General features: G+C 35.6%; 1 protein-coding gene across 12 annotated transcripts in view; it reads right to left on the bottom strand.

The window, feature by feature from the left end:
• Window positions 1–27,094, bottom strand: part of PPP4R4 (protein phosphatase 4 regulatory subunit 4) — a 105,413-nt gene that overhangs the window by 35,905 nt on the left and 42,414 nt on the right. For 5 of the 12 annotated variants that reach the window (NR_145441.2, NM_058237.2, XM_024449672.2 and 2 more), the window contains 8 exons: window positions 13,096–13,243; window positions 12,515–12,588; window positions 10,071–10,177; window positions 9,161–9,268; window positions 6,144–6,265; window positions 3,035–3,157; window positions 1,873–2,042; window positions 1,422–1,541 (listed from right to left, as the gene is read on the bottom strand). Coding sequence is in view for 11 of the 12 variants with exons in the window: in NM_058237.2 (NP_478144.1) it covers window positions 1,422–1,541; window positions 1,873–2,042; window positions 3,035–3,157; window positions 6,144–6,265; window positions 9,161–9,268; window positions 10,071–10,177; window positions 12,515–12,588; window positions 13,096–13,243 (972 nt within the window). In the remaining variant the exon portion in view is untranslated. Of the gene's footprint in view, window positions 1–1,421; window positions 1,542–1,872; window positions 2,043–3,034; window positions 3,158–6,143; window positions 6,266–9,160; window positions 9,269–10,070; window positions 10,178–12,514; window positions 12,589–13,095; window positions 13,244–15,110; window positions 15,207–15,976; window positions 16,345–16,451; window positions 16,556–27,094 lie in introns of those variants that run through there. The other 7 variants (NM_001348144.2, XM_011537039.3, NM_001348143.2 and 4 more) reach the window with 6 other exon arrangements.

Raw genomic sequence — 27,094 nt, 5'->3', positions numbered from 1 at the left:
GTTAGAAAAATTTAAATCCACCAGTGGATTTTCATTACTTTAAAAAAAAAAAAAATTTACACTAGCCCCTCATTTTATGGAGAGGCACATCATTCTTACCCTACCTACATGGTATGATTGTGGTAGAATATGGAAACTAGCCACCCAGCAAATATAGATCAATGATTATCAAACTCACTTCCACCAGTGAAACATATTTGTATACACATGTACATTTCCATATGTTTAATTATATGGTGCTATGTTATGTCTACTATAAAACATAAATAAAATTAAATATTAAACTGATGAGAAAAAAATAGAAAGTCTAAAATTGCATAAATACTGCATTCTCAGACTCCAAACTTGTACAACCCTCTCTGGAGACCACTGATCTAACAAGTACATGTGGACATGGTAACCAAGCCTAAGTGACCATTTAATGCATCTTGGAGGTGAATATTCTGCTCAGCTGGCCAGTGCTTTCTGCCCTATCCCCGCTCCTCCGAAAGCAGAGTTCTACAGGTGTGTTTTACAAAGATGATATAATTGTGCAGCACTGAAATTAATTTAAAGAGAAGATGTCCAGGATTTTGTATAATGCATATATATTTTCATACCAGAAAAAGCGTTCTTTTAAAAAAGCAAAACTATCACCCAATAGCCAAAAAAAAATCTAAGCAACATTAATAATGATGCTATGGATGGATATCCTGCACACTTGCAGATCATCAAAGTGCTCTGACATAGGAACACAGTGCAAGGAAGGGGGTGAAATATTCTCACTGAGAATAAGAACTTGTACCACTTATCCAGAGGCTTTTATGTGTCAGTTTTGAAGTTGAAAGTTATAGCTTATCCGTATTTATTGCAACCACGGCATACGTGCACTTCTTGCTGTCATTCAAGAAACATGCCCCAAATTTCAACTTCAAGGGTTAAAAAGTTAAATTCATCATAAAAGTTTCAATTTATTTTTGCTCTTACTTTATAGTCATAATAGCAGAATCTAAAAGCCATGCTCACGAAACACCATCCATTTGTAGTAAAAATAATTAATGTGTCTCAATTTTCTATTGGTTCTCAAGTGCTTAAGTTTAGGTGCAAAGTTAACTGTAAATATTATAAAGCATATAAAAACTGATTTTACTTTAAAATCCGCATCACCCATATCTACCACAATGTCTGGTTTAAACACTTGGTATAGATATGCTGAATGAATGGGTTAATAAAAGAATACACAAATATAATGTATTTATGGAAATGATTCAGTAAACATACTAAAAAAGAAGAAAATTAAGGAAATTTTTAAACAAGATTTAAGACTAGAACATGAAAGAGATATCCAGTCTATATCTTATAATCTATAAGCACAAAATCATCTAGTATACATAGGTAGAATTAACAACAAACGTAAAGTGATATCAAGTCTTCAGACTTACTTCATAAAAGCAAATAGCAATAGTGTATCTGACTGGTACTTCAGGGTCATGGCAAAGGCAGAAGAATGTAGAATAGAGTTCCATGTGGAAGTTTTTAGGATCAACAAAAACAATCATGGCCTGGTGGAGGTGGAAGGGAGGAGATGAGTGGGAAGGAAAGAAAAACATGCATCAATACCTAATATTATAATCGTTTCACTTAAATTGAAATCATGTTCTCTGAATTGTAATTTAACTAAAAATCATATTTGGAAGATCCAAATATGTGTCTATTATTCTGATTTATACGTAGAGATATAAATTTCACAAATATTTACTCTGCACATACTATGTATGCTAGACATAATGCAAGCAGCAAGTGTCAAAAATGGCAATATTTTGAATGCCATCTATGCACATATTTTAAAGTTATAATAAAAATCCTCAGTAAATATAAATACATATTTATTACCGGAAAGTTATAAGCACAGTTCTTCCGTACTGAAATATATTTCTTCTCCTGCTCTAGGATTTGGGGTGGAATCTGGTTTTCATTGTGTCCATTTTCTTGTTGCAAACCCAATGTACAAAGTTTCTTATAAAATTCCAAAAATCTCAAGTGCTGATCTGGAGTGAAAATTCCTAAAACAAATATAAAAAACTAGCTCAACATTTCAATTGAAAACAAAATTTAAAAAGGGAAAATCAAAGTACAATAAAAATATAATTGGAGCCAAATACTTAAATAAATGGTTACAGATACTTTATAAATAAAAGGAACATGAAAAGAGTATCTGTTAGGAATCTAACAGATCACATTATTTTACCTCATGTTAATACCAGTAATATTTTAATTTCAAAAGTATAACTTACATAACGCAGGAACTGTAGCTGCATTAATTGCTGCAGCATGTATCATATTGTAGGCCACTAAAAAGTCACTAATAGTAACATTGTGGCTATTTATACATCTGCTATTATAGTAAATGTTCTAAAATTGCTGACAGAAAAGACACATGCATGTGTGTATGTGTCTCTGCAGGGAAGGAGCTTAAAAATTGAATCTGAAAGACAGCAAATAAATTCAAAATATTTTTAATCAATGGAATGGTTCCACTTCATTAACTATCTCAAGGAGCTAGAAACTCATAATATATTGTTACGAGTTCATTATTAAACAGTCTATCTCACATCGATACGGAAAGCTAAGAACTATGTGTTCAAAATGCCAAGAGTTATGGCATTATTCTACATCCCAAGCTGAACTTCTCTAATGATATAATAAATTATTCAATAAATGGTTAATAAGTGTATACTTACTACGTACAAATAGTTAATAAGCCTGAGCTTCTATTATCACATACCAAATAATACATAATTATAAAATATTCAGAGATTTAAAGAGCTATGCTTACTTCATTCTGTCACTGTTCTTTCAAATAGGTTCTATTGGTGAAAAAGTCATTCCTAAATGTGCTCTAAATGATGCTATCAAAATTCTAAGATCTCATAAGATTTTTATATACTTAAGAGTTAGGCTTTACAATTAACTGAAGAGCCAAAGTTTAATGACTGAGGTAGAAAAAAAAGGGAAAAATTATCTACAGTCTCAAAATTCTTAGGATATATCATACCATATAGTCCATGACATAGTTTTCCTAAATGGAAAGATAAAGAAATAAGAATTGATTCATCTGCTTTGAAAGATTTTTCACAAAATGATTTCACTAAGGGAAGTATAGTTTGACTTCTGTCATCTGGAAAACAAAACAAAATAATACATACTTTAAATTCAGTCGTCCACATTGCACATGTGGAAACTAATACACACACAAATTCCAGAAAGAAAAATTACTATGTTAGCCTCATAGTAATAGAAAATACCTGAAAGCAACAACGATGGAGGTGGGTGGTGAAAAAGGGGTAAGAGGAGGCTTGAAATGATCAAAAACTTTAATGTCAGGTTAAGGGGTTTGGACTTCATACTGCAGGCCATTGGGAACAGAATATAAAGAGTGATTATGAATTAAAAAGCTAAGATGATTGAGGATTTGAGCCTGAATAACTAAAAGAATTCTAACACCATTAACATAAATAGATAAATAGTAAGCAAAGGAAACTTTTCTTATTCTCTTTTACACACATCTCATACCATGCTACAGCTTAAGCCCATTTTATCATTTCATTTATTACTAAAATTACATTAGCTTATAATATGTTCTATGTATTGAATTTCATCACTTTTACTTCTTAGATGGCTCTTCTTTAAAAAATTAATCAATTATTTGAGTACATCTGCTTAGGTCATAAGTATCTGACATACTGGTGATTTTTAAGTCTCAATTCTAAATGCTCTCCAAATTTCTCACAGTTTTCTTAAATTTCAGAAATGAATCACTTCTTTATTATCTAGAAATACTAAATAAAATGCTATAACAGGCTTATGAGTATTATTATTACTATTATCATTACATTTCGGTGCCATATCTACTATTTTTGTTAAATGACATTCATTCAACACACTGTATTTCTTACAGAACAAGCCTTGTAACTAAGTAGAAGTAGAAATATGAATAATAAATGGTCTCTGATTTTGAGAAATGTAAACCAGCAAAAAAGCCAAACACAAAAAATATAAGACAATGTGATCACTGTCTTAATAGCTGGTATAAGGCAGGGATCTATAAACTTTTTTTGTAAATATTCTAGGCTTTGCAGGCTCTGTCTCAACTACTCAGCTCTGTTCTTGCATCACAAAAACAGCCACAGACAATATGTGAACAAATAAGTGTGGCTCTGTCCCAATAAACTTTATTCACAAAAACAGGCGGTGGGCCAGATTTGGTCTAAGGGCCATAGTTTGCCAACCCCTGGTGTAAAGGATTTAGAAAGATGTCAGGGAGGAAACTGTATTTAAACTGGGAACTAAAGAAGCAGAAGGATCATTCTCAGCAAACTATTGCAAGGACAAAAAAACCAAACACCGCAAGTTCTCACTCATAGGTGGGAATTGAACAATGAGAACACTTGGACACAGGGTGGGGAACATCGAACACCGGGGCCTGTCGTGGGGTGGGGGGAGGGGGGAGGGATAGCATTAGGAGATATACCTAATGTAAATGACGAGTTAATGGGTGCAGCACACCAACATGGCACATGTATACATATGTAACAAACCTGCACGTCGTGCCCATGTACCCTAGAACTTAAACTATAATAATAAAAAAAAAAAAGAAGCAGAAGGAGTTGGCTAGGACAAAAATAGAGGGAAGGAAACAATAGAGAAAGAAAAAGTATGAGAGAAGACTAGAGGTGTGAAAGAATCTGGTATGCTAAGGAAGTGGGACTGGAGCATCAGACACAAGAGGAGTGGGAAAGAATGGTAGGAAATAAAGCCACAAACACAGGTTAGGCCCAGCTCTGTGATAAATGGGTGTGGGCAGTAAAAGAGAAAAGATCAAAGATGATGGCAAGGTTCTAGTTTGGAGCCTGGGGATGCCCCATTATTAGAGGAAAAAAGATTTATTCATTCACTTATCATGTACTGCAGTTTTACTCCTCTGGTTTGTCATATTGTCTAAATGACTGTTCTGGAATTTCCAAACACAATTATTGTCCATATTGCAATAATCTTTAAGAGGCTTCCTAGAGTTCAGATAAAATGTTGGTAATCCAAGTAAATGTAATACTATAATTATACGATTGAATTCTGTACCTAAGTACTTGACATTTACTCCTCCAAATTTCTCTTTATCAAAATAGTTAATGTTTACTGATAACTAATATCCAGCATTAGTCAAGAGTCTAGCCATACATTCAGTAGAGCAGTTAACTGTCTTTGTGACATGATTTACATAACACTAAGGAATATCTCTTTACCCTCTCCCACTCAAATACCCCATCCCAAATTTCTCCCCCAATGGCCATGAGATCTCTAGCATTAAAATATTATTAAGGAGAGGAAACTCATGTAGACAATGTCTCAGGATCTGTCTTAATGTCAATTAGGTGAAAAAGTTAAAGTCAAATTCTTAGCCCTATACACACACAAGTCAGTTAAGTTTTGATGGGAGAAAAGAGAGATGGAATATGTAGCAACACTGTATGCCATAGGGTACTGGTTTTAATATGGTTTGTCTCCATCAAAATGCCTGTCAAGGCTTGGCCCCAGTGCAGCAATACTGGAAGGTGAAATCTTTAAGAGGTGGGGCCGCATGGGTCCACCCACTGGCTCCACCCTCGTGGGTTGACTGGTGAAGTTCCTGTGGTATTGAGATCTCCTTCACAAGTGACTGGGTTAGCTCTCGTGGGACTGGGTTAGTTCTCTGGAGAGCAGGTTGTTACAAAGTCAGCTTCTTTTGTTCCCTCTCCCTTTTGCAGGCCTGCTTCACCTTCCACTTCTCTGCCAGATTACGAGGTGGCATGAGGCCCTCATCAGAAACAGGTCAGATGGGGCTGCCTGATCTTGAACTTCCCAGCCTCTAGAAATGTGGGCCAAAATAAATTCCTTTATAAATTACCTGGTCTCAGGTATTCTGTTACAGCAACACAAAATGGACTACGACACCATGAGGGTAAAAGTGAAAGCCAAGAAGACACGAAAACAGAATGAATCATAAAAAGAGGGAGAGGAAGGGAGGCTTAACATAGGAAATTCTAAATCTACTTTTATTCCTTATTAGTGACATAAAACATGTAGAAAAACACTGTTTTCAGAAGCAAAGATGTAGCCACATGATTTACCTGTATCAAATATATCAAGCAGATTAACCAAAGTTTCAAAAGCTGCAAGTCGTACACTGCTGCCTTCATCCCTAGAAAGTTCTATTAATTCAGGGAGCACCACACTTTTTGTAAGTTCTGTCCTGCACAATAAGCAATAGAAGAAAATAAATCAAATCAATAAATGTGTAGCAGGAACTTACTAAAAACCAGTGACTGGGCTAGTTGCTGCAGAAAATATGAAAAATCATAAAGATACTGTTCCTGCTCTCCAGAAGCTTTCAGTCTTATTGGGAAAGCACACCATACATATAAGAAACATTAATAGTAATTTCATAATGATTTCAATCAATCCCACTTCCTCCAGCATAATATTGTTACCTACAGAAATCTTAATAACTAAGAGTTTATATCAAACTTTATAAATTATAATATAGTTTTCCATTTTAAGCAACTTCAGCAAAAATCTGGACTAATTAGAAAAACTTATCAGTAGTAACTGCAGAAACCTAAATAATATATTTCTATCTAGATTTCAGGGTATAAATTATTTTCCATTCACCTAATACATGAAATTATGGTAACTAATTTCTATATAGAAGATGATATATCACTCTAGGTGTCCTACCTAGCAGAATGAAACATAATATAAATACTTTTAGGGAGTATACAATATTTATAATACAATCACAAATAGTTTGTATTCAACATTTTGTTTCTGCTTATTCCTCATGATAAGGTGTCACTGTAATGACAAACACTCTGATCAAGGAGAGCCTTGTGATGTGGTTAGCTTTCTTGGGTACAAGATGGAAAACAGCATCAATTATAATTGACATAAGATGTTGATAGAGTCCAAGAAAGTTATTAAGAGTTGTAGAAAACTTTTAAAAATTTCAGCGCAAATCTCAAAGACTCTAAGACAATGCTGTCAAGTAGAACTTTCTCCAATGATGGAAATGTTTATCATTTGTACTCTTCAGTAGGGTACTATTGAGCATTTTTTAAAATAAGTTTATTATGAATGAGGAACTAAAGCTCTAATTTTCTTTAATTTTCCTTATTTTAAACTAAAATAGCCACATGTGACTAGGGGCTACCATATTAGGCAGCATACCACAATGACAAGGACTTAAGCAATTGAAGAGCCACAAAAAAACATGTTTTTCTAAGAGATTGATCTAGATCATACAGATAGAGATGTTAACATTACCAGTACTTCACAAACATTCAGCAAATACAGGATATAGACAGAGGAGGTAGAAGAGTAAAATGTGATAGAACAAATCCAAAGTTCATAAAAATTTATTTCATATAAATTTTGCTCAGAATATATTTGTATACCTACTGAAATCCTTGAATTTATTAACAATGAAAGAAAATAGTTTAAGAAAAATAATTTCATCTCTATAGTAAAAGTTATTTCCATTCAATCTTTAAACAGAGTTCTCTTTTTTTCAAAAACATGTGACAGTGATGCAAATTCAACTTAATTATCTCTGGGCATTAAAAAAGAAAATAATCATAACAGATAACTCTTTCATTAATTGTGTTAAACTTCCAACACGACACTTAAATACTATTTAGCAACAGTGGACACAGGACAGAGTACACTACCATACCCTGTGTGACATTCCACCATACCCTGTGTGACACTCTACCATACCCTGTGTGACATTCAAAAGCCTTTTCGGAGCCTTAAATATTGGCCCAGATTTTTAAAAAATTAACAAAGGTACCAATGACCACAATCTGATTGTCCTAGCTTGTGCAACAAAGAACCAGATGAAATCAGTGCAACTTCTGCTAAAAATGAGAGGTTCCAATGATTTTTGTACCAATTTTGAATCTTGTTTTTAAAAGAAAAGATTTCCCAAGATGGTTTTTAGGTAAGACTCCCTTTAATATCACACTTCTAAGATTGAAATGAGATCAGTTCTTATGGGTGAAGAGATTGGCTGCTATGCCTCTCCTGGAGCTTCAGGCACCCATAGAACAAGGGGAGCAACAGCTGGGCGCGGTGGCTCACACCTGTAATCCCAGCACTTTGGGAGGCCGAGGCAGGCGGATCACGAGGTCAGGAGATCGAGACCATCCTGGCTAACACGGTGAAACCCCGTCTCTACTAAAAATACAAAAAATTAGCCGGGCGTGGTGGTGGGCACCTGTAGTCCCAGCTACTTGGGAGGCTGAGGCAGGAGAATGGCATGAACCTGGGAGGCGGAGCTTGCAGTGAGCCGAGATCGCGCCACTGCACTCCAGCCTGGGTGACAGAGTGAGACTCCCTCTCAAAAAAAAAAAAAAAAAAAAAAAAAAAAAGAACAAGGAGAGCAACAAAACAAACATTGGAAGCCTGAAGTTGCACAGGAGCTATAGAAAGGCTTCCATTAGAGTGTAGTCGGCCCTCAACATCTGCAGGTTCCACATCTGTGGATTTAACCAACCATGAATAGAAAATATTCAGAAAAAAATTTCTTCTTTACTGAACATGTACAGACTTTTTTCTTGTCAATATTTCCTGAACAATACAGCATAACTATTTACATAGCATTTATATTGTATTAGGTACTATTAGCATCTAGAGATGATTTTAAACATGTGGAAGGATATAAGCAAGTCATATGGAAATACTACACTCTTTTATATCAGAGACTTGAGCATCCTCAGATTTTGGTATCCAAAAGAGGTCCTGGAACCAAGTTCCCAAGGATATGGAGGGACAACTGCAATCCCATCTGAAATGACCCAATAATATAGTCAAAGAATAGCCAGTCAAACATATTCCAAGTATGGTTTATATTGGGCTATCTTTTCTTTCCTGAATCTAGGTGTCTGGAATGATAACTAAGCAACTAAGGTGAGAAAAAAAGAAATTAACATTAATCAAACGCCTACCACCATGCTAAGCACATTCCTCTTTATCTCTTTTAATCCAGACATAGAGGAGGTACTTGTTATGATCATTTTTAAAGATCAAATACAGCCTTTCAATGGCATGTTTTCATGGAAATGGCATAAGGAATTCAAAGTATACCTACCCAATGCCCTGGGCTATATTTTCTAATTGCCGACACATACAAGATCGAACTTCATATTCTACATCTTGACAGAGTGATTTTACCAGAGGAAGTATTTCTCGCTTAATGCTGAAGGTGGGGAGAAAAGAAACATGCAAATGAATGAGTGTTTCAGAATAATATTCCCAAACAATTATCATTAAAATCTTAACTCACCTTAATAATAACAAATGTACTTTAATAGAAAAAAAATAATAGTTTACAAGGTATTTTACATGTTATTAAATTTGGATGTTATTAGCTACTTGTAAATTATGTATATCACACAGTCTTTTTAAAATAATGGTTAATTTTGGATTGGCAGTTGAAATGTCTATAGCTAAGATAAAAGGCTGTAGCAGTAGAATATCTGAGTCTAGCAACCATCAACCAAAATACTCTTCAGCTTTACTCTTGTATCATAATTATAAAACATTCCATTCTTTTCATTTGGTATTTAATAAGCAGGCAAGAAGTAGCACATGAATTATAAACATGCTCCATAAAACCTCACAATAAGTTAAATTATTCAAAATAACAAATTCATAACAACAGTGTAAAAAAGCAGCAATTCTATCTTTATGCCGCTGCCAATTTTGAAAGTCAATAAGATAACGCTATTTTATCCTCAAAACTATATTTGGTATGAGATAGGGAAGATTAAGATAGGAAGTAGGAAAAAAGTTAACCTTACCAATTCTGAAAAGTTATGAGATTGAAAAGAAAGGCATCTGAATAAGTAAATTCGTCATGAGAATTCCATAAAGTTAAAATAGTTAAGATAACTAAATTTGTATGCAGTATGAAATAACACAAATATATTGTTACACAGTCATTATACATTTTAAACGAATGTAATAAAGTAGACCGAAAATTACATACAAATACTCACGTGTGGGCATCAAATTTGTTGGTCAATTTTCCTAAAATTTTACAACTAACTAAACGAGACTGGACTGTTTGGGAAAGTTGTGCCTTGGAAACAAGTGGATTCAAAATCTAAAGAGAAAATTTAGAGAAAAAAATTCACAAAATTTTATACATTCATGCCACTCATGTCAGCTATTCCTTCAGAGTATTTTAAAGTTCTAAATGTTTTTAAAGAACCTGAATTACGATTTGAGGTTCATGACTCAATAACTTGGATTATCTTATTTGTCTTCTGAGTTATTAAGGTAAAGATAATTACAAATTATGCAATTAAAACAATTAGGAAAAAACTGAAGTAAAGTTTATGGTGATTTTACAATGCTCTGTATGCACAGATAAAAGTAGAATTTTGAAATACATATTTTAAAAAGAAAAGAGCAAATAATGACTAAATACCTTGAAATGTATTTTTATTCCATATAGATTAATTTTTATATGTATCCTAATGGGATGAAAAACATTATAGCTTCAAATAAATCCTATTAAATAATTCTGTCATTTGAGTACAATAAGCCAAGTCTGATATTGCATTATGTATATACTGGACACTCAAATACTACAACAGCCTGACAGACCATAAAACACTATGAAGATCAGACTCTGATTCTAGTCCCAGTTCTCTAGTTTGTCCAAATAATCTCGCTATTTCTCTTTTTTTTTTTTTGAGACGGAGTCTCGCTCTGTCGCCCAGGCTGGAGTGCAGTGGCGCGATCTCGGCTCACTGCAAGCTCCACCTCCCGGGTTCACGCCATTCTCTTGCCTCAGCCTCCCGAGTAGCTGGGACTACAGGCGCCTGCCACCACGCCCAGCTAATTTTTTGTATTTTTAGTAGAGACGGGGTTTCACCGTGTTAGCCAGGACGGTCTCAATCTCCTGACCTCATGATCCGCCCGCCTCAGCCTCCCACAGGGCTGGGATTACAGGTGTGAGCCACCGCGCCCAGCCCATAATCTCGCTATTTCTAATCTCCAGTTTCTCATCTATTTAAAATGGAAACAAGAATATGTCCTACTAAGATCTCTTTAATTTCTAAAATTCTATGACTCTATAGTCAACTGGCTTGTTTCCTCTCAAAGTAGCTGGAATTACTGAATATGCATTGATAATTTAGAAGTGAAAAGTTTAGAATAAATTACATATCTAAAATCTTTGAAACCACATGTTAAATAATATGGTATTCTAGAGTAAAAATTGCATTATACAGCATATTGCTTTTCAAAAAAATATAAAAATCACATGTCTATATTACATTCAGCACTTAAATATGCATAATCATCTAGATGTTTGGCATCAAGTATGCAAACATCCTTATAACTAGAAAATCTTCCCATTTTCAAGCCAGTATTTAAGCATTGTGACAGGACCATAAACTGTATGAAGACAAAGAAAGGACAAAGACACTTAATGAAGTCAGTAGAGGACATTTCATTGGCTGATGACTCTTTTTTTCAATCATGACATATTTGGAAAGAAATGTATATAGGAATAATGTTCAAAGAATACAAAATCTTTTCATTAGTGGATACTTTTCTTTCCATTTTTCTTCTTCTGTCATTGTAATTTATTTAAAGTCTTTAGAGAAGAGTATGCTGTTCAATGTTGAAAATTAATAGGCAAACAACATGCTGGGAATAATATTTGTAAATATAACAAAGAATTGGCAACCATAATAGGTAAATAGCACATATAAATAGTGATTAAAGGATAGGATCAAACAATTGCAAAGGAATAAAGAGAAACTGATATAAATATGAGAAAATATTCAACAGCACAATAATTTAAAAATTCCAATAAAATGTAATTCCATTTTTGGCCCATTAAATGTAACAGAAACACTATTGCTGATAAAAGTCTAGGAAAAGAGCATCTTCACATATTGTTAGTCAAAAGCTTAAGAATATTAATGCCCTCTGATCCATTAATTCCTGTTTGAAAGCTACAATTAAATTATCTGAAAAACAGGAAGAGCTCTACAGAAATGCTCATTAATGTCCTATTCAATAGTAAAATATAAGCCTGAAAACAGGCTTAAATGTTTCACAAGTAAAATATTCTGCAGCTACTATCAAATGAGTTTAAAAAATATAGGAAAGTAATGCTAAGTGAAAAACAACCATATATAAATTCAGTATGATCACTGATATAGCAAGCCAAGCAGCAACCATATATAGGAAAAAAATCTGAAAGGAAATACATCAGGACCTTAAAAGTGGACAAGTACAGAGCTATGAATTCTTTTTTCTTCCTTCTATATTTTATATTTCTCAAATTTCCTCCAATGTGCACGTGTTACATTCAAAATGAAAAACAACTTTCTTTTTTAAAAACCATTTTTGACAAGAAACCTTTTAAAAAAAAACCTTAGAGTGACTTACTTATTAGTATTTGCCCCCATGAAAGTATTACCTCATGCCGTAGGGTTTCTTTTGGCAATACTTCTATAACAGACAGAAGAGTTTCCAGCCATGCATTGCTGACACCTGGTTGACAGAGATAAAACATACTAAATTAAACGTCTCACTTCAAATTCAGTTTCAACTCAGCCATTAATAGTTACAATAGCACTTAATGATAAAATGGAAATAATTATTTTCATTACTATTCTAAAAAGTTTCTCTATTATTTTGTCTCAGTCAACATCTAGAAAATTTTTATATTTTTAAAAATAGTATTGGTGAGATATCTTTAAACCAAGGTTTGCTCTTTTATTGTACAATACTATAAACATGACTGCTAGAAAAGGAAAAAAAGTAACAAGAAAGTATAAATCATAAGATGAATTAATGGATCTTCAGCTTTCAAGGATATTAAATTTTGTGGGTTTTATAAGACAGCCATAGCTATTTTAAGTCATTCCACTGCTCAACTCCTAGGCAGCATGGCCTTACTCAGTTATCCTCATCAGGCTAACAGTATTTATATAATATCATGGCCATACACAAAAAAACAATAAACAAGTATATAATTAAGCATGCCAGGCCCCTGACCTGTGTCCCTGTGCTCCAGATGCAGGAGAATGACTTGGAGGAATGAGTGGGTATATGCATGAATTGACACTGATTCGTCCTGCAGAATGGTCAGAAATGACATCGCAGCCGTTAACTGCATTTCCACTCCTGCAACATGCAGGGCTTCCTGTATAATCAGAAAGAGTTTGCTATTTACATAGATGAGAGATCACAAATTATAATTTTTAAAAATCCAAGGTTGTAGAAACTAAATAGTCATATTCCACAAAATTAAGACATATGACCTTTAAGGATATGTACTTATTTCAGAGAACTATATTAATCTGCTCCTGATCATTTAACTCATTACACTACATAAAATTTAAGTGTCTTAGGATTTTATAAGATAAAGTAACTTGCCACCGCTTTATTGAATAAAAATTATAAACAGTACATAAACCTTTAAGCAACAGAGTAGAAACTTTAGAGAGGTTTTAATTTCTGTTTTCCTGTTTGGATTGTGACAGTTTGTCATCCTACCTAGAACAATGTCAAAGCTCAGACAATCACATGTGTTTCCATTATTTGTATTTGTGTTTCAAAAAATAAACATCATACATTCTACTATAAAAAAGAATACACTTAAGAGTATGCAAAATATTTCCCCTTTAAACAACTGAAGAGAACACAAATTACCATGAAGTAAACTGTTTTCAAAAGAAAATTTCTTAAGAATATGCTTTTAAAAATTAATTATATTCATAGTCATCTCCATTCACCATTTAAAGAATTTTAAAATGCATATCCAAAATTAAAGCCTATATTATAGTATGTTTTCAACACACCAAAGGGTCAAAAAAACTATCTTTCTACGTAAGCCTCAAAGATATTACTGTACTTCTCTATGAGAGAGAGAGATAGAGAGAGAAAGTGTGTGTGTTTGTGTGTGTAATGTAAAGGCAACAAGAAGTATTACTTGCTCAATTATGGCAATAATGAAAATTTCCCTTATATGCCTATTTTATAATATAATAAAGTCAGTAGAACAACCTGGAACTTAGTCATAAAATAGTTTCATATCAGTGATCTTAGGAATATTAATCCTTCTGCATTATTTCCTAATCTATAAAATGTGAATTATAGCAACATCTTCATGAAGATTTAAATCATTTAAACAGAACTTTTGTGATTTATCAACTTGTGCAAAATGAACGTTTAAATAATTACTATTGTATATCCACTGTCTTCTGTCTATGTTACCTTTGGATATCTAGTTGGAATCTCAGTTGCTCGCACCTTCACTGATCTCTCCCTAAAACCTGCTCCTCCTGTAATCTTCCTCATCCTGATAAATAGTAAATGTCATCTCTGCCATTCCAGCTGCTCAGCCCAAAAACTGTGGGGTCATCCTTAACTCCTCTCATTCCCTCACTCCCCACAGTCAAAAGACCAATAAATCCTGAAGGGTCTACCTTCAAAACAAATCCAGAATCTGAACACTAATCACCTCTCCTGTTGCCACCCTAGTCCAAGTCACCATCTTCTCCAGCCTCAATTACTCAAAAAACCTTTAACCAGTCCCTGATTCCATCACTGTTCCTCTACTATCCATTCTCTATACTGTAGCCTGAGGAATTATTTTAAGAAATAAGTCAGATAATGTCACTTTTCTGCTCAAAACTCTCCAATGGGCTTCCATCTCACTCAAAGGAAATGTCAAAGTCCTTTTAATGACTTACAGTATGTGTTCTCAGTTCCACTTTTCCTGGATTTCCATATGGCTGGCTCCCCTACCTCTTTCAAGCCTCTACTCAAATACCACCTTGTCAATGAGGCCTTCCCTGATGACCCTACTTCGAGCTGAAAGTCACCTCCTTATCCCAGTTCTCACTACCCCCCTTTACCAGTTTATTCATTACCATCATCCAATACACAACATATTTATTTGTTTATGGCCTATCTTTCAAAACTGGACACAAGCTTCATGTGTCCCCACCTCCTAGCACACAGCAGGCATTCAGTAAGCAGCTGCCGGGTGACTAAATGTCTCTTACCCTCTCACCTACGCTTTCTGCTCTTGATGCTCTCTCCCTTCACACACATTTTGCACATCTCCCAAAAAGTGGCTTCAAGAGATTTTGAGGTGAGTCCTAAAGATTAGGAATTGGCAGAATTAGATAGAAGGCAAAGCAAAAATGGATCACATAGAAATGTATTCTCAATCCTCTTTCTATCATGTCCATACTGCTGTCTTCTACCCTAACATCTCCATAACCATGATTTGGACCTATATACCCAGTCTTCTTGATTCAGCACAGTGGGACACTGTCAGTCATCACAATAGGGGATAACACAGGGATTTCTACAGCAGAAGAAACAGAATAGTAAAGCACTTTGATAAAGGCCAGCAAGCTAATAACTGGCAACTCTAACAAACAATTGTCTACCAGATGCCAAAACACTCCTATGCACTGAATTCTTCCTCACGGACTCTGCACTTCCATTCATCATTTATTAAGGCATGACTTAAAGCAATGCTAAGCCTTCATGTGGCGGTGTGGGAGATCTGGCAGTGGCATTTCCTGTGGCAAATGTCTATGTGCTATGGTTAATTGCCAGAAAACCTACCACATATTAGAGTGGCTGATTTTTGTTTTATTCTAAACTTTTGTATCATACACAAAAACATTATTTTACATGTTTTTTCAACCAAAAGTCAGTTACATATCATGAGAGTTCTTGGCTGAGAGAAAGAGGGAAAGAATGTTAAAGTATAAAGCAGAAGCAGCAAGTGGTCTCTGAAATCAATCCTCCCATACCCCTTTGTTTTAGTGTTCCCAAAAGAAACATTTCTTCCACACTAACAATTTGGGGTTTGGAAAACACTTTTAAAAGATTTGATGTGGCCAGTATACATCACTTACAGGTTTCAGAAGGCACAGCTTTTATTTAGAAACAGAAAGGACTTTGCAAATAAATATTAAAATCAATTGTGAGGGCCACAACGTACATTCCAGTTCACATGAGTCTGTTAACTTCCAAGAGATGCAATTCTGCCCCCTCTTAAAGTCATTAAAGTCCTGGGTTTTGTACGTATGCAAACTTTATACAAAGGAAGAACATGAGAAGCTCTCCAACTTCATATCTTCTTACTGTATTACTTAGTCTTGACTCCCGCAGCAACATTTGCCCCAACTATTTTGCATTTAATTTTCGAAAAATCCTCAAGTCTTATCAGGATTTGGGTTTTTCTCTTGTTGTGCTGACTTCAACATCTGGGACTGTCCACTGTTAAGAAACCAGCACAGACTAAGAGATTTCATCACTGCTAAAAATCAACTGATTTTCTAAACATATTTTTCTGAAACATAATACAATAAGAGTTCAATACTTACCAGTAAGTGTTCTCCTCCACAGAGTCACACCCTCTGGACAAACATATGTGAGATCCATACTCTCTGGATAAATAAGTGTGCATCCTCATGGACCTTGGAAGACACTGAAAAGTAAATTCCTCTATTGCTTAAGTGCATGCCTTAAGCCAGTTACCATTCCTCTTACATTACTATTGTACGGCTGGCATCCCAACTTGAATTCCTCAAAAATGAAATGAGACATTAAGAGTTAATGGCACGTTTCCAAGTTTTAAAAACTGTACCCATTCAAGGAAGGAAAGTGCAGTAGACACGTCTGTGTTTAAATTCGCTCTTTAGTTAACATGAGTGGTGCAAGAAAGCATTTTGTAAAACAACATAATACACTCCTTGCAGAGAGGGAAATAGCTGTCTCCAACAAGCCTGTATTATATCCATCAGGAAGATATTTCTCCTTAAAATACACAATATAGAAAAGCATTAAATAAATCATTGGCTTACTCCAAAAGAGCAAGTGTTTAAGTTTCACAAATTCTGAAAAGAATCTTATTGAATAAAACTGAAAAATATATTTATCATGAATAGTGCTAGTAAAAGGTAAAGGAACTCTAAAATTACAAAATATCTGTGTATTTTTAGAGATAGCATTGATTATTTTGAAATTAAATAATAGGGACTTCTATATTAAAACACTGAAGATCAGGGACATATAAAATATCTGGGCTATTAAAGATCATAAATGTGGGAGGTTTTAGTAATTAACATAATAGTGTAATAGCCCTCTTCATTATAAAATCATGATATTTATAAAAGACTTTCAAATAGGTTAAATATGAATAATTGAAATATGCCAGGTTCTAAGATACCTTTAATGATTATACCTCATCATTTTCCCTATCCCTGATTGCCACATTCCACCACTAAAATAAAGGGTGTAAAGGACTAGATGAGATCACTGAAAATCAAAATCTGAGAGGGAAAAATGAAGTGAAGACAATAAACAGAAATAACAAAGGGAGATATGTTTTACCATTCCTAAGTCTGTATTTCAGTGATTAGCAAGATTCATGAGGAGGTACACATAAAAATATCCTTAAGAACTCTTTCCATAAAGGAAATACAAGTATCATATGACTATTGTAAATATACAATAAAATATGCTGCCATGCAAATCATAAGAACATCAAAACAAACAAATCAATTTAAAGACCATAGTTTTGCAACTGAGCCTTCCAGCTGCAGTACTCTGCTAAGTCATTTTTAAACGTAATAAATTAGAATCACAGGAATTTCATAATTTAGGCTTAAAATGTAAATAAGCAGCAATTCAAAACTTTGCAAAGAAAGGATGTGCTTTTCAAAGAAATAATCTTGTTAATGGATGTGAATGATAAAGAACCATTCCTTCTGAATGATTCACTATAGCAATATTTAATTAATTCAATATTTTTTTCCAAAAATTATACACAGTTCTCTTAGAAAAAAAAGCAGCCATGGAAAGTCTAGCAAATATCTATAAGAAAGAGGAAACAGGGCTTTTTTTCTCCCAAGTCAGTCATAATACTTTCACCTTCTATCCTAATCTCTCTCAAAAGTAGCCCAAAGAAAATCTAATTCTGAAGATAATATCATTTTAATTTCATTCAAGTCCCAGCATCATACTACGTATTCTGGGAAACTGGAAAGAAGTCAAAGATAAGGATCTCTACCTTTCAGTGATTCCTGTTGACTATATACACTCACTCAAATGCTCAATTATGTTCAAGGCACTGTGCTGCTAGGTGCTAGAGACCTAGAGACCCAGCAATGAGCAGGACTAACAATGTACAGACACCTAACTGCACTGGCAGTAGAGTCTTACTTAACCTGATTTCAGGTACTGGATGATTTGAAGCTGGGCTGTCCTCCCCTGCAAAGGACAGTCTATTCAGGACTGCCCTTATTCCTACTGCAGAGGGGCTTATCAGGGACTCCGCAAGGCTGTCAGAGAAGTCACTTAGGCTCTCAGTCCCTCAAGACCCTCTTCTAGAATCAGCAAACACCCCCAGGCCCAAAGCAGGCCCCAAATTACATGCTCACTTTTCTGGATATTTGTTGTCTCTTAGATCTTGGAAGGGTAATTTTTTACTACCCTGTTAGTTTCCATAGGCCTGTATGCAGATGATTTTTATGTTTTGTTCAGCTTTAAAAATTATCCTTGCCAAGAGAGTTGATTAGAGTTACCTCGTCTGCCTTTATTGAAAGAGGAAGTTCCCTTTCCTGTTATTATTCCTTCTTGATTTAATCTTAGAATGAGATTAACCCCAACATTTCTATTTATATACCTGCATAGGTTCTCTGTGCACACATACCCCTCTACCATACCCTGTTCACCATCTCCACATCCACACAGATCAACTGATTGTTTTCTAACAATACGTTAGAAGTAATCAAGAACCTAAAATTAAATATTTTGCCAAAACCCTTGTGATATATGTCCTTAATTTACACTTCTAGTTCTTAAGCTTCCTTATTTTCTTGGTGTAAAATTATGTTTCCAATAGCAGTTCTCCACTTTTGGTCTTCATTTTCTCTGTAGACAATCTCCTCCACACCAACGACTTTAAATGTAATCTGTATAAATTTTACTTTTTTATTGGCAGACCTGTTCAGAGTATCACATCCGTATATACAACTCTCTGCAAACTCTACTTCGGATGTCTCAAAGGTATCTCAAAGGTAACAAGTCCAAAATTGAGCTCACAGTATTTCCTGTAACACCTGGGCCTCCTCCAGTCTCTTGTCCTAATGTGGGCTTTCTCTAGTCTCCTATCTTAGTGTGTGCCACTGTTACCCACCTGGTTTACAAACCAGGATTTCAGGAGTTATCGTTGATACTATTGGTTTTTTATTGCTCATATAGTCCTGGTTTTGCTTTGTTGTCTATTTCTTTAATCCATCCACCTCTCCAACCAGGCTACTTCCACCATAGTCCAAGCTACTTTGAAGGTTTGCTCAGGTAAGGGTAACAGATTCCAAGTGATCCTCACCCACTACATCCCTTCCATTCCATCCTACATCACTCTCTTCTGATTCATTTTCGACTTTACAGTCAGCATGAGATTTCAAAGCATTTAAAACTATAATTTGAATATTCTCTTGCATAATGCACCTAAGGATCTGCATAATTTGGGCTTTTTCACTGTCTCGGCAACTCCTTTTGCTTTATGCTCTAGGCACACTGATTTTCTCTCAGTTCTTTGAATCTACATTCAATCTGCATGCTTCTCTTTCCTTCTCAATGCTGGGAATGTTTGCTTTCCTATCTCCCCTTATCTTGCCCTTCATCTAATTATTTCTCTTCATACATGTAATGTCATACCAACAAAATAAGGAAGCTTAAGAACTAGAAGTGTAAATTAAGGACATATATCACAAGGGTTTTGGCAAAATATTTAATTTTAGGTTCTTGATTACTTCTAACGTATTGTTAGAAAACAATCAGTTGATCTGTGTGGATGTGGAGATGGTGACAGGGTATGGTAGAGGGATATATGTGCACAGAGAACCTATGCAGGTATATAAATAGAAATGTTGGGGTTAATCTCATTCTAAGATTAAATCAAGAAGGAATAATAACAGGAAAGGGAACTTCCTCTTTCAATAAAGGCAGACTAGGTAACTCTAATCAACCCTCTTGGCAAGGATAATTTTTAAAGCTGAACAAAACATAAAAATCATCTGCATACAGGCCTATGGAAACTAACAGGGTAGTAAAAAATTACCCTTCCAAGATCTAAGAGACAACAAATATCCAGAAAAGTGAGCATGTAATTTGGGGCCTGCTTTGGGCCTGGGGGTATTTGCTGATTCTAGAAGAGGGTCTTGAGGGACTGAGAGCCTAAGTGACTTCTCTGACAGCCTTGCAGAGTCCCTGGTAAGCCCCTCTGCAGTAGGGAATAAGGGCAGTCCTGAATAGACTGTCCTTTGCAGGGGAGGACAGCCCAGCTTCAAATCATCCAGTACCTGAAATCAGGTTAAGTAAGACTCTATTGCTAGTGCAGTTAGGTGTCTGCCAGAAGAAAATATATTCCTTCCATGAGAAAGATATCATCCTAGGCCTCAAACTATTTCTACAAATAATTTGTCAAATACAAGACCAAGCACATAATCAATAATATCAACATATATAAGGAGATAAGATAATAAGCAGAAACAATACAAAATATAAACATGCCAAAAGGAGCTCCAGATACTAGTGCTATATGATACATACATGGTTCAAGAGGATAAAAGATACAATTGAGGATTTCAACAGAGAATTCTCTAAGATATAAAAAATGGCAGATTTTAAAAAGCTAAATGGAAATTCTAGACTAGATAAATACAATAATCAAAATAAAAATCAGGTTAGATACAGATGAATTAGTGAGACAGAAGGTGTATTAGAATAAAACACCAATGAATCACAAACAGAAAAAAGGATGGAAAAGAAAGAAAAGAAGATAAAGGACATGGAAATACTATTAAAAGATCTAATATACATAAAATTGGAGTCTTAGAAGGAGGAGAGAGAGAAGATTAGGCAGAGGCACATGTAAAAAGATACCTGAGAATTTTCCAAAACTGGCCAAAGAAAATAAGCCACAGAGTCAAAAAGCCATAAATATGCCTCCATATTTCTAGAAATCTACAGATATACAGTGTAAAATCCTATGCTAATAAAAACATCTATTTAAAATGCATGTGGAAGACATTTTCAAACAGACAAAAACAAAGATAATTTGTTACCAGCAGACTTGTACTGAATACTAAAAGGTGTTCTTCAGGCAGAAAAAAAAAAAAGATTCCAAATGGAAATACTACAGGTAATAAAAAATGATAGCTATGTGGGTAAATCTAAATAGATATTGGTTAGATAAAACAATATCTAGGAGACCTGAAATATATAAATAAAATAGCTAACAACAGTAACATATAAGTCAGAAGAGGATTAAATAATAATTATATTATTATCTAGGAAAAGGGTAAAAATACCAATGAAATTCGACTTTGATAATATGTCCTTTTTGTAATGTCTAAGCTCACTAACACAAGAAAAGTAAAAGAGTCTGTAACTTCCAAGCTAATAGATGAGGGGGAAAGTGAAATAATAAAACTACTTAATCAATTCAAATAAAATAAATAAGAGAAATAGAAACATAGAGCAGTTGGCAAAAAGAAAAAGCAAATTGTAAGATGACCTATGCAATTACATTAAATGTAAATGGGAAAAATATTCTAATTAAAATACAGTGTGAGATTGGATTAAAAAATAAAACCCAATCATGTTGTTTACAAAATAAAATCTAAAACATCAGGAGAAGCCACAGAGTCAAAGAAGAAATTTCAACACATAACCAGAATATGTAAAGAGTATTATATCATTGAATGGTTATACCACAATTGACTTATCCATCAACAGTTGACTGATATTTGGGTTGTTTCCAGTTTTAGCTATAACAAGTAAAGCTGCAATGAACATTCATGTATAAGACTTTATATGAAAAGATGCTTCATTTTCTCTTAATCCTTAGGAATTAAATAGCTGAGTAATATAGTAGATGTATATTTAAATTTTTGAGAACCTGTTTTCTAAAGTTGTTGTACCATTTTATATTCCCACCAACAGTGTAAGGGAGTTTGAGTTGCTCTACAGTCTTCCACAATACTTCGTATGGTCAATTGCTGTTTTTTTGTTTGTTTGTTTTTTGTTATTTTTAGTACAGATATTTTAACAAGTGTATTGGAGATTTACTCACATTGTCCTAATGACTAATGATGTTGAACATCTTTTCTTATGTTTACTGGCCATCTGCCAATGTTCTTTGGTGAAGCATCTTAAAAATTTTTCCATATTTCTAAAAATTGGGTTGTTTTATTATTGTGTTTTGAGAAGTTCTTTATGAATTCTGAACACAGTCCTTTGTCATCTATGTGATTTACAAATATTTTCTCCCATTCTGACTTGTCTTTTCATTCACTTAATAGTGTCTTCTGAAGAACAGATCTAATTTATCAAATTTTTCTTCTAAGGATCATGCTTCTAGAGTCATATGTAAGAAACTTTTACCTAACCCAAGGTCACAAAAATTTTCTCTTATGGTTTCCTCTAGAAGTTTTAATAATTTCAGTCTTTAACATTTAGGTCTATGATCTATTTTATCTTTTGCATATGGAGCAAGGTATGGATTTATTTTTCAAACTGTTTGAGCATCATTTGTTGAAAAGTCTATCCTCTCTATAATGAATTGCCTTTGCCCCGTGTCAAAAACAAACTGACAATTTGTGGGGTAGGTGTGAGTTTTCTTAAACTTTCTCTATGTCTCATTGATTACTTTATCTGTCTTTACACCAATCATACAGTATTAACTGCTGTGGCTATATATTATGTCTTGAAATCAGGTAATGCAAGTCCTCCAATTTTGTTCCTATTTTTCAAAGTTGTTTTGGCTATTCTAGGTCCTTTACATTCTCATACGAATCTTAGAATTAGTTTGTCATTTCCTACAAAAACCTAACCTACTTGAATTTTGATTATTTTGCATTAAATATACGCATTGATCTGGGGCAAACTGACATCTTCACAATATTGAGTCTTCTGATCCACGAATATGATCTATATTTCAGTTCACTTAGTTCTCTCATTATTTCCTCTCAGAAATGTTCTATAGTTTTCAGTTTATAGATCTTATGTAACATTTACCAGATTTATCTCTAAGTATCACTTATTTTAATGCTATTTTGATAGTTTAAGAAAAACTTCAGTTTCCAATTGTTGGTTGCTGGTTTGTAGAAACACAGCTGATTTTTGTATATTGATCTTATATCCCATAACCTTTCTATACTCGCTTGGAAGTTCCAGCATTTTTCTTTTGCAGGTTCCTACATATGATAATGTTATCTGAGAAAAAAAAAAGACAGCTTTACTTCTTTCTCTGCAATGTGAATGCTTTTTCTTTTTGTTGCCTTACTGTACTGGCTAGAATGTCCAGTATACTGTTAAACAAAAGTGGTTAAGAGCAGACACTTTTGGCCTTTTCCTGATCTTAGGAAAAAGTCTTTCACCTTTAACTGAACATGTAGGTTTCTCACAGAGGAAGCTCCCATCTATTTCTAGTTTACTGAGTTGTGAGGTTATTTATTTATTTATTTATTTATGAGATGGAGTCTCGCTCTGCTGCCCAAGCTGGAATACAGTGGCACAATCTCGGCTCACTGCAACTCTGCCTCCCAGGTTCAAGCAATTCTCCTGCCTCAGCTTCCTGAGTAGCTGGGATTACAGATGCCTGCCACCACACCTGGCTAATTTTTGTATTTTTAGTAGGGATGGGGTTTCACCATGTTGGCCAGGCTGGCCTCGAACTCCTGACTTCATGATCCACCTGCCTCGGCCTCCGAAAGTGCTAGGATTACAGGCGTGAGCCACCATGCCAGGCCTTATTTTATTTTAAGACAGGGTCTCACTATCTTGCCTAGACTAGACTAAAACTGTTGGGCTCAAGAGATTCTCCAGCCTCAGCCTCCTAATAGCTGGGATTACAGGTGTGTGTCATCACACCTGGCTAAGATTTTTTTTTCCAGAAATAGTTGTTGGATTTTGTCATATACTTTTTCTAAATCTACTGAGATGATTAGATGGTGGTGTTCCTTTTTTAGGTTTCTGACAAGATTTATACTGACTAGTTTTTAAATTTTGAAACAATCTTGAATTCCTGAGATAAACCCTGACTAGTCATAATGTATTATTATCCTTCTGATATATTGTTGGATTTGATTTCTCATTTTTTGGGTGTTTGCATCTACGCTCATGAGTATATATACATCAGGGTAATGCTGGGCCTGAAAGTTTATCAGGAAGTTCTTACCTCCTCCTCTATTTTCTGAAAGAATTTGTGTAGAATTGTTATTTCCTTTACATTTACCCTAATTTTTACCATTTCCAGTGCTCATTTATTCATGTAAATCAATTTCCATCTGGTATCACATTACTTTTACCTAAATAATTTCCTTTACAGCCAGGCACGGTAGCTCACATCTGTAATCCCAGCACTTTTGGGGGCAGATCACCCGAGGTCAGGAGTTCAAGACCAACCTGGCCAACATGGTGAAACCCTGTCTCTACTAAAAACATAAAAATTAGCTGGGCATGGCAGCAGACCTGTTCCCCACTATTTGGGAAGCTGAGGCAGGAGAATCGCTTGAACCCGGGAGGCAGAGGTTGCAGTGAGCCTAGATCGTGCCATTGCACTCCAGCCTGGGCAACAAGAGCAAAACTCCATCTCAAAAAAAAAAAAAAAAGAAAAGAAAAGAAAAAAAAAAAAGATTTTCCTTTACCATTTCTTGTGGTATAGATTTGATATAATTAATTCTCTCAATTTCTGTTTATCTAAAAAGCTACTTTGTCTTCATCCTGGAAAGGTATTTTAACTGGGTATATATTTCAGTTGACTTTTTAATTTTTGCTTTTTACTTTCAGTACTTTTAATATGATATTCTTTTGTCCTCTAGACTACATAGTTTCTGATCAGAAGCCTGTTCAATTGTCACCTTTGTCTCTGGCTACTTCCAAGATTATCCTTTTTATTTTCAGCAGTTTATGAGGTATCTAGGGGTGAGGGTGTGTGTGTGTGTGTGCGCGCGCGCACGTGCGGTGTCTAGGGGTGAGGGTGTGTGCGCGCGCGCGCGTGCAGTGTCTAGGGGTGAGTGTGTGTGTGTGCGCGCGCGCAGTGTCTAGAGGTGAGGGGGGTGTGTGTGTGCGCGCGTGCGGTGTCTAGGGGTGAGGGTGTGTGTGTGTGCGCGTGCAGTGTCTAGGGGTGAGTGTGTGTGTGTGCGCGCGCGCAGTGTCTAGAGGTGAGGGGGGTGTGTGTGTGCGCGCGTGCGGTGTCTAGGGGTGAGGGTGTGTGTGTGCGCGCGTGCGGTGTCTAGGGGTGAGGGTGTGTGTGTGTGCGCGCGCGTGCGGTGTCTAGGGGTGAGGAGGTGTGTGTGTGTGTGTGCACGCGCGTGCGGTGTCTAGGGGTGAGGGTGTGTGTGTATGTGTGTGTGTGTGCGCTCGCACGCATTTATCCTGCTCTGAGTCCTCTGGTCTTCTTAGATCTATGCTTTGTCCTGGCTAGTATTTCTTTAAATAATTCTTCCTTCCCATTTCTCCTTTCTCTTTCTGAGATGCCGATTGCATATATATTAGATCTCTTTTTATGCTGTCTCAAAGCCATTGGATGTTCTCATTTTTCACTCTTTTCTATCTCTATGTTTCAGTTTGGATAGTTTCTATTTTCAAGTTCACTGATTCTTTCACCAGACATGTTCAAACTCCTGATAAGCCCATTGAAGAAATGCGTCATCTCAGATATCATCTTTTTTATTTCTAGCATTTTTTTTTCATTTGAGACAGTGTTTTGCTCTTGTTGCCTATGCTAGAGTGCAATGGTGCAATCTCGGCTCACCGCAACCTCCGCCTCCCGGGTTCAAGCGATTCTCCTGCCTCAGCCTCCTGAGTAGCTGGGATTACGGGGATGTGCCACCACGCCTGGCTAATTTTGTATTTTTACTAGAGATGGGGTTTCTCCATGTTGGTCAGACTGGTCTCAAACTCCTGACCTCAGGTGATCCGCCCACCTCAGCCTCCCAAAGTGCTGGGATTACAGGCGTGAGCCACCACGCCCGGCCTATTTCTAGCATCTTCATTTGATTATTTTATAGATCCTCTCTCTGTTGAAATGCCCTATACATCCAGGCATGTTGTTTTTTCAGTGGATTTTTTTTTACCATATAAATCACAGTTACTTTAAATTCTCTAATACTTCCAATATCTGGGTCATCTCTGACACTAGACCTGTTGTTGCTTTATGTTTTGGTAAGTTTTCCTATTTTGTGTGCCCAGAAATTTTTGATTTTGAAATGTTGAATGCTGGATATTCAGTGATGATAGGGGCAACAGTATTTATGCTCAGAAATGAACATTCCACCTCTGCTAGGCTGTTAAGTCCAGGGGGTTGAATAACCAGTCTAGTTAGCAGTTGAGCTGGGTTTCAGGCTTTTTGTTGCTATGGCAATCACAGCACAACAGGTTTCAGACCTCCAATAGTGGGCCACTATTACCTTTTGTTTAACGTGCAGCCTCAGATGCCAAAGGGTTTGCCTCAGTGTTCCTGCTCCACCCTCAGTTTTCAGCAGGCGGTCTCTCTCCACACTCTTGTCCCTTCTCTAGTAGTAGACAACTGTTGCTTGTTACTACACACTAGGCTAATGGTGGATGTAGAGTATTCTCAGATATCTTGGTGCAGCCTCATCTTAGGTAGGGGGTCTTTGAGCCTGGGCCTCAGGAATGTAACTTTTTCAGTGTTCCTGTCCTATAACTTTGTATCTTGGGGTGCGGGAGGGGGACCTTTGCCAGGGTCAAGTTTCTTGCCCTATCCCCACTGGTGGCAGACCTCTGCTTTTTATCAGTGCAGGGTCCTAGTTCTAACATCTCCTGCCTTCCACACCCAGCCCCTAGTGTCAAAAGGCTTATGCTCCCACCTTTCTCCCAGAAGTAAGTGATCTTTGCATGGTCCTGGAGGAGTGAGGGTTTTCTACCTCTCTTCCAGAAGCAAGTGGGTTTTGCTCCTACCAAACTCATCAAAGCAATGGCACTTCACCTGGGC

The sequence above is a fragment of the Homo sapiens genome, chromosome 14 (assembly GCF_000001405.40).
Source record: "Homo sapiens chromosome 14, GRCh38.p14 Primary Assembly".
NCBI classification, from domain to species: Eukaryota; Metazoa; Chordata; class Mammalia; order Primates; family Hominidae; genus Homo; species Homo sapiens.
This window is presented reverse-complemented; position numbering and strand designations above follow the sequence as displayed.